The sequence below is a fragment of the Homo sapiens genome, chromosome 15 (assembly GCF_000001405.40).
Source record: "Homo sapiens chromosome 15, GRCh38.p14 Primary Assembly".
Classification (NCBI taxonomy): domain Eukaryota; kingdom Metazoa; phylum Chordata; class Mammalia; order Primates; family Hominidae; genus Homo; species Homo sapiens.
Genome location: NC_000015.10, coordinates 87,308,027 through 87,319,493, shown reverse-complemented (window position 1 = coordinate 87,319,493; position 11,467 = coordinate 87,308,027). Strand labels below are relative to the sequence as shown.

The 11,467-nt window shown below is 38.0% G+C and overlaps 1 long non-coding RNA gene across 1 annotated transcript; it reads left to right on the top strand.

Moving 5' to 3' along the window:
* The first annotated feature begins 8,935 nt into the window (after positions 1–8,935).
* On the top strand, positions 8,936–10,861 carry LOC107984735 (uncharacterized). The gene is made up of 3 exons (XR_001751743.1): positions 8,936–9,090; positions 9,178–9,338; positions 10,703–10,861. It is a non-coding gene; the product is annotated as an uncharacterized LOC107984735 (long non-coding RNA).
* Positions 10,862–11,467: the final 606 nt, after the last annotated feature.

The window sequence follows — 11,467 nt, the reverse complement described above, 5'->3', positions numbered from 1 at the left end:
TATAAAAATGCCTTAGGGTATTTTTTACTTTTATTTTGAAATAAACAAGCCTCCTAATACCTTTCTGAAATAGTATAATGAGTTCCCACATACCCTTCACCTAGCTTCACTCAATGAGAACATTTCTCAGAGCTGTAGTTTATTATTAATTATTATCATCAAAACCAGGAAACTGACATTGGTACAGTCAGCTATGAGTTAAACTAGAGAAATTATTCAGATTTCACCAGTTTTTACATGCACTCATTTTTATGATGCATATAAAGTACTATGAAATTGTATCATATGTATAGATCGTTAAATGCTTCAGATTAAAACAATTAAAAGTACGTAGAATAAAAATTTTCATAACAGGTGGTATGATATTTGAGGGTAGATTTGGGAGCAAGCTAAGAAACGTGGCCATTTGTTATGTCCCAGCAGAAGTGGACTCTCAGGCGAACAGGCTGTGCGTGGAGAATTTGTCTGGTAAACAGCATGCAGGATGAATTATAGCTAAGGGACAATGGAAGACAGAGGCCAAAGCCAGGAGGGTTGTGAGGTCAGGGGAGAGGACAAAGACTCGCATCAGCATGGTGGCATTTGACAAGCAGAAGAGGCAACTTTTCAGGAGACTAGCGAGCCTGGGAAGTCAGGGGATCCATGTTGGTAATGACAAGAAGAAGAAGAAACTAAATGTGTGGAAGAGAAAAGGGAGCTAAGCTGGCCAATAAATTAAAAGCTAAAGGAAAGGTGAAAGAGGAGGTTAATGAGGAGAGCAAAGGTGATGAAGTCAAATCATGCTGCTGTGATCTGGCATTAGATGCCCAGTCTGCATAATGGAGATCGCATCAGGCTGTTTGGTAGAATGCAATATGTGCTAACATACATGACGTGCTAAAAACCGTGCCTCATTCATAAAAAGGGGCCAATAAATGTTAGCCATTATCATCATGATCATCCTCAGAGGAGGAAAAGCTGAACAATATTTATCTTGTGAATTCGGCTAAAGATTAGAGAAACATTTCGAAGCATGCATCAAATATTTTTCCTTTACTTTTGTATAACAATACCAATTAAATTAATAAAGGAAGCATCACATTTATAGTGTATTTCCAGAATTAAGGTGGAGACAGCAGGAGTCACCCGAAGAATGGAAGGATGGTGCCAATGACTTGAAAAGGAGTTTAGAAGACACCAGTTTGGTGAGTAGATGATGTTTTGGGTTTTAGGGATGTGGTAACAGTAAGATATTCCTGCTGAATGTGTCCAGTGGGCAACTAGAGACAAGGAACAGGAACTCAGTGATTAATGAGGGTTTGCTTTGATTGAAGATGGGGCTGGAAATGTAAATTTAGGAGTCATTAGCATAGAAGTGATGTGTAAAGCCATGAGAATGGATGAGCTCTCCCAGGATGTGTTAAAGGAATAAAAGGCAGAGAGACTTTCTGGCTTTGGGAAGGCGTACTACTGAGGGCAAGAGGAAATGAGAGAATCAGTAATGGAAACAAAGGAAAAGAAGAGATGCAGAGTGGAAGGTAGGAGAAAGTGAGTGAGACACAGGACCGAGGTCAGAGCCAAGGTCAGGCAGATACATCTGCTATGTCGTTGAAGCTGAGCAGTCAGAGAAAACAGACATGAAGAGTCTACAATTGATTGGGTGATACATTCTTTCAAAGCCACTGCAAAAATTTAGGAGAGTAATAAGATGTTCCATGAAAGACTCACTGCTTTGTATATAAATACACTATTTCTCTTTGTTTCTGCCTGATATTTTATACACATTTCAGTGAGAATACAGTGTTGTATAATGGAAAGGGAGTTAAGCTAAAACTCTGCTGTCAGGTTCAAACTCAGAGTGAACTGCTCTGAGCCTGTTTTATTATCAGTAAGATAAGGATATTAATACCTGCTTTATACAGTTGTTTTAAGAATTAAGTAAAATAATTTGCATAAAACACTAGTATCATGCCTGACATAGTTATACAAATTGGTTTATGTATAACCATATTCATATAAATTTATCTACAGCTATATAGCAACAAAATACAAGTTGTCATTTTTACCAAGGCTGCTGGAAATAAGTGAGACTTGAAATAATTAGGGGAGTGGGGGTGTTACCAAGGGAGTCCTTGAGGACACAATTGGGCCAGAAATCTTACACTTTCCTTTATAAAGAAAACTAATTTAAAATGCATAGGCAATTTAATTTAAGGCTTAAGAAAATGCTAAGATAAGTGTTCAGGAATATGTCGGATTAGAAAGAGCATTGTCTTGTATTTTTATAGTAGTAAGAAATTGCACACAATGGAGGTATACGTCAACGGGAAGTTGGTTAAATAAATTCTAATACATTCATAAAGTAAACCACTATGTCATGTAAAGATTAAATTTTTTAAAGAAACAAACTTTTCAGGACTATGTACAACATGATTCTGTTTAGAAGATTTGATAGATAAGTACTTCCAATTTTTTTCCTTGCTTTCTTCCTTCCTTTCTTCCTCCCTTCTTTCCTTTCTTCCTTCTCCTTTCATTTCCTCTTTTTACTTTCTTCCTTTTTTTCATTAAAAAGAATGTGTTATGTTCATAGTAAAATAAACAAAAAGATATTTTGTTTTGATTGAAGAAATATCTCCTAGATTTTGGAAACCTCTTTTACCACAGTGGGAAGAACATAACCCAATGTATGCAGTCATCCCAATGTGATTGCTGCACAAAGCATAAAGTGACCCCCAAAAGGAACACAGCCATAACACTTCTTCACAGAGTCAACTTCTAGTTGTAGAATATGGAAGATTGTATTTTCCAAAGATTGCTGCACAAAGCATAAAGTGACCCCAAAAAGGAACACAGCCATAAGGCTCCCTCACAGAGTCAATTTCTAGTTGTAGAATATGGAAGATTGTATTTCCCAAAGATGGTTAAACCAATATATTCCCTGCCACATGCTCTTCTTGCAGGGTGACATTTGAGACATGAGGTCTATATGGCCTACCCTTAAATCTCAATGGAGCTGTGACTATGGTGGAAGTTCCACTATATCATTTCTGAAGCTGAGCTTTAAAGATGATACAGCTTCCACCTGGCTCTTTTAAAACACTCACCCTTGGAACCCAGCTGCATGTTGCGAAGAAGAGACCACATGGAAAGGCTGGCGAGGTCCCAGCCAATAACCAGCAACAACTGCCGGACATGCGAGTGAATGAGCCTTCACTAAATGATAGACCCTGTCTTTGAGCCACTCCAGTTGACGCTTGGTAAAGCAGAGTAGAGTTGTGCCAATGATCCTAGCCCAAATTACAGATTTGTTAGCAAACTAAATGATGTTGTTACTTTAAATCACTAAATTTTGGGATCATTTGTGGTGCAGCAATAGGCAATTGGAACAAAGCGTAAAATGCTACTCTTGATCAATCAGTGGTGGAGACTTCTGCAAAGTAGAAGCTGCAATTTATATGAAGAGTATCTTGCATTAGAGAGTCCCCTTCCTTCCTCCACATCTTTTCTTCTATATTTTACATTCAATGAAGTAATGCATTCACATAATTAAGAGGAAAGAAATGTTCTCTTGCTGTATAACCAAAATGTGATAGATATTTTGGTCAACACTTTTTATCCTTTATCTTATTTTTCACAGCAGCCTTATGAGGTATCCATTATTATCCGTCAACTTACAAATAAAGACAAAGGGGTTCGAAAGCATTAGGTAACTTGCTTAAGGTCACATAAAGAGTAAGTGGAAAAGCCAGAGGTAAAACTCAGATTTTCTCTTGTATGCCAAGCTGCCTACTATCAGAAAATGTACTATATATTCAGCCTTGATGTCAAATACACTGACTTCATATTTTTATGTATTCTATTAGTCAACAGAACTTCTTTGTATAGTCTTATGCCACAAGCACCTTCAAGGTGGGAGGGCAAGAGGCTATCCAATCAATAGGGCAGATGTTCCAAGAAGGTCTATTGGGATATGCCATAATAGGACACTACTGACCCTACAGAAAACCATGACTAAACGAAATTTTAAAATGCTACTGTCAGAGGTACAGCAGATGGAAAGTTAAAGAGCCAGGACAGATCATGATAATTTTAATAGACTAGATGATATGATGGTATGATTGGTTTGGGGGTATAGTGAGATGTGAGGTCCAGGGAGAAGACAACATATGTCTCTTTAAGAACTGTTTTGGCCAAATTGTATGTATGTATGTATGTATGTATGTATGTATCTATCTATCTGTCTATCTCTATCTGTGTATCTGTCTATCTATTTATCTGTTTACCTTTCTATGTAATCTGTCTATATTCAGCTGTCATATGCACACATACATATATTAGTTTGCATTGAAGCCAATCATTGAGGCCTCAGCTGATGACAGTTCAAGAGTTTCCATGGAGAAAAGGCTTGAGGAAGCAGTCTCCACAAGGACGAGGATGACAGGTTGTGCTCAAAGTCCTGTTTGCATGTTAAGCACAATGTTTTTGTTCAAAGAGTACATTTATATGGATGACTTGGGAGGCTGAAGGACATTGTGTTAGGAGGCAAGTAGGGTTTGAAGCATACCCAAGGCATCCTCCTCACCAGGCTTATTTACTAATTATGATGTCTTGCTTTTTACCAGTGACACATGTTTCTATATAGGAAAAGCAGAAATTTGGAAGGAGAGCTAACAAGTTCAGCTGAGGCTGAGGACAATCAACAGGTGAACAAATAACTATTCTGTACTCATTTGTTCTAAATAGTAAATTAGTAATTTTTATTTACCTAGAAGGTCTCTATATAGAAGAAATGACTTCATTATATCTGTCACCTATGAGGTGGGAATTGAATCCCAGAGGATATCGTATAGGGAGGGCAACTCCAGATGAACGGATGGACCAGGAATAGAAAAAAAATGTGACTTTTACTTTATTTTCAGGAGCTGCAGTATCTAGGATGGGCCTGGGATATAAAGTGAACACTCAATTCAGAATACTGTCATAGAAAGAGAAATTCTGAAGCATAGCTTAAATACAGAATTGTAACTTTTGCTCTGTCTGTTTCAGTAATTTTAGGGAGTCCAAGTTGTTAGACCAAAGCAACTCTTATTAAAGCCTCTTGTCCCCTTGTTTTAGATCCAGAAGACTACTGTAAGGTTTTCACTATTCTGATCATCCTTAAGTCATTTTATCCCAGACAGCTTGACCCTTTGAGCCTCTCCTTCCCCTGTAGCTGGAAATGTGCTTCTGATACACTAATGCTGCCCTCCTCAGCCACTGAGAACCCCATGATCCTGCCGTTGGCAGGAACTGAGACACTACCACAAAGCGCCCCAGAGGTGGACCTGTCTTTACCCCACCACTGAGACCAGGGGTCCAATTCACGTTAATCCCCACCCCTGCCCTCCAATAGTCTCATAACTGAGCTCCCCACCTATAGTTTCTTCCTATTCCAATTAATTCTACACAGTGTTTCAAGGTTAATGTTCCCAATCTTAGCACTTCTGTGGCAGACTCTCCCATTGGCAATCAGGTGAAAATGCATTAAACCTAGTTATGCATTTAATTACAAGCCCAGCCTCATTCCCCAACACTACCCTCCATCGGTAGTCGTAGTGTTTACCCGTATTTGACCATTAGCTCTTTCCTAAGCATTTCTGTGGTAGATTGATTGCAAAAATGACCCCAATTTTAGATCTGAATCTATACCCTTTGCAATATGACTTTGCAGCTCTCCCCTTACGTCTAGGCTATATCCTGTGACTTGCTTGGCTCAATAGAATGCAATGAAAGTGATGATGTGACAGTTGGGAACCTAGACTTCAAGAGACCTTGCATGATTTTACTCTCCCTACCACTCCTCTGCCTTTGTCATGAGGCTTTGTGTGGGCCAGCCTGTTGCAGTATGAGACCCACGGAGCAGAGCCGCATCAGCCCAGCAATTCGAGCTAAGGCTCTGCATCTGTACCAGAGCCCATCCAAGGTCAGTTGCACCACCAGCCTGACTGGCAATTGACCACACATGCATGTGTGAGCCCTATAAGCTAGACCACATCAGCAGAACTGCCCAGCCAGCTCATACCTGGTGAAAAATGCTACATTACTTTAAGCCATTAAATTTTGGGGTGGCTTATTAGTTAGCAATAGCTAACTTATACAATGTCTCAGGTTTTTTTTTTCCTTTTTTTTCTTCTCTTGGCCTGTGTTTCTGCTGTCTCCCTGCCTGGGTTGCCCTTTACCTCTCCTACTTGAGAACTCCTAGGGCAGTCTTGTTATATGGTTTTGCAGAGGGAAGCCTGACTCCTTTTCTTGGCTTTAAAAGCAGACTTAATCTATTTCAACTTATGTCAAGGAGTTTGCTATATCTTAGTTTTTTTCCCATGATTTTTCCATGCTTATCTTTTCTCATTTTTAAGATATTGAGAGGGTTGGCATTAGGTGAATCCCCTTTGCCTGCTCCTGTCTGGTGAAGCTCAGCTAGAAATATAAACAATAAGCCTTCAAGCATCATGGTGGCAAGAGCATCGGAAAATATAGTATCTATTCACTTAGGATTTTATGCAAATCATAACTGAAAGGTTAGAAGTGGTCAGATTGTGTGTCACAGATATGAATGTGTAAGGATGATTGTCTGCTTCTTTTGTTGAGCAAGCATGCATTGTAAATGGGATAAATAAGCAGAAGCACAGGCAGAAAAGTCAACAGCAGTTCTTGAGGATTAAGTGAATTCTCTTTCTAAAAAATCCGCCCAGCCCATATCTCCTCAAGTGTAACTTGCTTTAGAGATTTGCTTTTAAATAATGCGCAAAGAAACCTAAATAAACACATCAAGTAGCATCATGTCCCAGAAGAAGTGGCTGCAGAAAGCAAAGGGGTTATTGTGAGTTTGACTCCAGTCACAAAGGAGTCTGTAAAACACAAGATCCTGGGGTTTTCTCTGTGTTTTTTCTCCCTGACATCCAGAAGACATTTTCTCATCATATAACTCCTTGATACATTCTGTAATTTGCCAGGATTGCAGCCCCCTCTTGAGATCTGAGCACCCAGCTGTGACTTTCTTGTCTCTAGAGTCATCCCTGGTAACGGCAGAGCTGCAGTCGTGCATCCACCGCAGCTTGGCTTTGATGTCCTGACCCTGCAGCTGTTCTCTGGCTGGGTTATTTGGGAAAGAATGATGAGCTGAGGCTGAGCAAGTCTACAAGTCAGAGAGGGATGGGAATGTTCTTGGATGTAGGAGAAAGCATCATTTGGATGGGCCATGTTTTCTGGTCTGAGCTATATTTCAAATGTGAATACCCCTCACTGTTGCTCTCTGAGCCCAAGACATGTGGTTTATAATCATGCTTCTGGAAATTAAACCCACCCAAACCCCATACTTGGTGGAAAGATGTGCCTCACTTACTGATCTGAGGAGCCTGAACAGTCTGCTTTGCTTTCATCTTGTAGGAAGCTCCATTTAGCACTTGCATTCTCTTGTCAGAGTAATCTCTTGAAGTAAAACTTTGTGAGTTACCTCTAGTGACAACTGTTTTATGAGTGCAGTTTCATATAATTAACAATTTAAGAAAATTTTTATATTTTAATTTTTATTAACAATGAAAGGAAGAAAGTTACTTCGTCATTTCTGTGGTATGTACTAAAACTCTTCACTTGAGTCTAGTTATGAGAAAAGATCAGACACACTCAGTTGAAAGATACTCTACAGCTGAAGATGAAGGAACTAAGACAACTAAATGCACCATATGATCCTGGATTGCATCCTAAATACCAGGAAAAAAAAAACTAGTTATAGAAACATTGGATTATTTGATAAAATTTAAATACAAATCATGGATTAGATAATAGTAATAAATAATGTCAATTTGTCTGACTTTGATCATTGCACTGTGGTTATATGATACTATTTTTCTACTATTTTTATTAGACAGGCAAACTGTCTTTACTCTCATATAGTTGAAGTAACACTGTATATATGTGTATACTTATAGACAAGTAAAGCAAAAGTCTTAGTGCATAATTAAGCTTTAAAAATTTTAATTTTAAATGCTGCAAGCTTATGAAAGCATCATTTGAAGTGTTATTTAAATTTCTTCTACACTTACAAGTCTTGTAAATTAAAAAACATTTTAATTACAAATTTGAATTTGGGATAGCATTAGGAGATATACCTAATGCTAAATGACGAGTTAATGGATGCAGCACACCAACATGGCACATGTATACATATGTAACAAACCTGCACGTTGTGCACATGTACCCTGAAACTTAAAGTATAATAAAAAAAAATTTTAATTCGGTCAACGTTTACCATCTTTAGAAGTATTGAAGGGTAGACAAATAGATTTAACACACGAAAATTAACATACTTTATGATTTTAAAAAATCAGTAAAGTTAAATTTTAAACAAAAAATGAGATAATAATAGATTTCTGAAGAAAAAAATTTGCTAACATCACTTAACAGAGCAATTTTTGTACATGGTCATTTGTTTCTAATCTGCATAGTTTTATTTTATATAATCACAATGATAAAACGTAGCATATTATTTTATATAAGGCTTTTAAAATTAACAGTAAACTATAAAGTATTTTGGTTTTCTATATATCACCTTAATAATTATATTTTTAAATATCTGGTGAACTGTCCTGTCCCGTTCAATGGTGTAATATCTACTTAGCTATTTTCCTATAGTTGGACATTTGGATAGCTTTAATAGTTTTTAAATAATTGACAATAGTTACCTTTTAAATACTATGTTTGTTCTCACGTTTGCTTAATTATTTCTTTAGGATGAATTCCCAGGAATGCTATTCCTGACCCTAAGTATATAAACCACCCCCTGGGTCTGAAGTGTTGTTTCCATTTATATGTGTACTAGCAGGATTTTTCATTAAACATCATGTAACTTCATTAAAAAAAACACGAATTAAGTTTTGGCTTGTGTGATATGTTTGTTATTACAGCACAAGTAATAAGTAGATTTACTATTGTGAGATGGGGAACAACTGGATTAAAAGAATGCAAGAAAAAAAGCAGCATGTGACTAGGAGTTGTATTATGATGATGAGAGGTTCCTGTTAACAGCATGAGAAAATATTCATGAACCGATGATAGAATAATAGTCACAAACAGGTACAGACAAAATATAAGTAGTATAAGAAGAAGAAGTTTAAAAAATAATAACAATTTTGATCAATATTAATTTTTATTTTAATAAAGAGTCTCCGATGGAGAATGCCATTTTGGAAGACAAAGATGGCTCCATCTTCAGCAGGAAGCCTGGGCTATGGTTTGAAAGAAAGCGAGACAATGTCATCTGGACTGTCCCATAACAGCGAGTCCCTAGAATCCCAATGCCATTCCACATTTTCCCAGGAAGTGTAAGCTCATTAAGACCTAAAATATCTTTCCCCATCCTTGTACCACTGCTATCAATCTTCATGAAAGAATCTCCCAGCTCTTCAAGATGCAGCTCATTGGCACATACAGTATATTCTCCAGGTGACAAAGAGACAACTGAGGGGGATACCTGGAAGTACCAACCACCGTTATCATGGCCAATCTTCTCAGCCGGTTAATCATGTGGTCCTTCCAGTTACCAAGGTCTTTTTAAATTTAGAGGGAGAGGGTTAGAGTAATTAGCCTTACCAGGATCATTGATCTTAAAGAGATACACTCGCTCAAATGCTTTTATTCATCTTATACAATTCGAAAAAAGCAGCTTCCAACTCCAAATCTCCTCTCTTATCTTCAGCTCAAAATAGCATTGAGTTAAGGTTAATATCAACTGGGTTTCACAGAAATGGCTTTCACACTGAATTAAACTTGAAAGGAAAGAAGTTTTATGATGAATAAATCTATGTGCCTGTTTTTTTCTGTGTTTTTTCTTATAGTTACAAATATATGTAGTTTTTAAAATGAAAAATAGGCTGGGGCTAGTGGTTCATGCCTGTAATTCTAGCACTTTGAGAGGCCAAGGCAGGAGGATTGCTTGAGCCTAGGAGCTTGACACCAGCCTAGGTAACATAGTGAGACCCCATCTCTACAAGAAAATTAAAAAAAGAAAAAATTAGGTGAGGCCTGTGCCTGTTGTCCCAGCAACTCGGGAGGCTGAGTTGGGAGGATCACTTGAGCCCAGGAGTTGAAGGTTGCAGTGAGCTATGATTGTGTCACTGTTATAGTCCAGGTGACAGAGCAAGATCCTGTCTATAAATAAATACATATAAATAAAGAAAATTTTAAAATGGTAGTATTATCTTAGTTACACATCTGCTGTTTCCTGTCCTTTTTTTATTTTTTTGAGATGGAGTCTCACTCTGTCGCCCAGGCTGGAGTGCAATGGCACGATCTCGGCTCACTGCAACTCCACCTCCCAGGTTCAAGTGATTCTCCCGCCTGAGACTCCCCAGTAGTAGGGATTACAGGTACCCGCCATCATGCCCGGCTAAATTTGTATTTTTGTAGAGACAAGGTTTCACCATGTTGGCCAGGCTGGTCTTGAACTCCTGATCTCAGGTGATCCGCTGGCCTCAGCCTCCCGAAGTGCTGAGATTACAGGCATGAGCCACCATGCCCAACCTGCTGTTTGCTGTTCTAAGTTTGGTAAAAAAGGACATTGTTGTACATCATACAATCTACTCATCAAAGATGAGCTCTATTAGAGGTAAGCCAAGAGAGTTGTCCCATTAAAAGGAAGGGAACAAGAGAAGTGTTGCAATTTAATTGTACTCATTTCTTTCTGAAGGCTTAGGTTCCTGTAATGTGTACCCTCTACTTGTTCTGGCTCTGCGAGGCTCAGCTAACTTAAAACTTCAGAGTTCTTCAAATCTTGGACCAATAACCACGAAGGTGATTACATCACAAATACTTTGCAGAATGTCTTTCACTGATTCTTTTGACAATATCCCAGGTAAGTAAGTGATAAACATTTAACCTACTAGAGTGGTTACATTTTCTAAAATAATATGGTTAGATATCATTAGAGATGGAACCTAAGTCCACACTCAATTTGTTTTAAAAATCCAGCTGTGTTTTCCTTAAAGATCCACCCCCTTTTTTTAGGTGAAACAACAATGCCTGTTTAAGTTTAGCACGTGTTCTTCTCATTTGGGTAGCCTTAGCATTTGCCACCAGAGATCCATGAAGTCTTTAAATATATTTGGTTTGCCAGATTTTTTAAGTTTCCTTTACAAAGTCAACTTTTTTTCTAAATTTATTTTATTTGCACACACCCAGCCCCATCTTCAGTTCTCCAGTGTTTTGTGTTTTATCTTTCTATCGTGATTGAAACGATACTCTAGAATGTGTATGAGATCAGTGGAGATTTTGAATTTCAGATTTCTTGACTTGGAATTCAGTTTATCTCCTTATAGCTTATGCCCATTAGGAACTCATATGCAATAATGATAGAGTTGTTCTTATAGGTAGCCCTCAGCACTGCTGTAAACTGCTGAGTGGGGTCTAAGAACTTACGTGTTGAATGCTGGATATGGAGAATGGGGAGTTCACA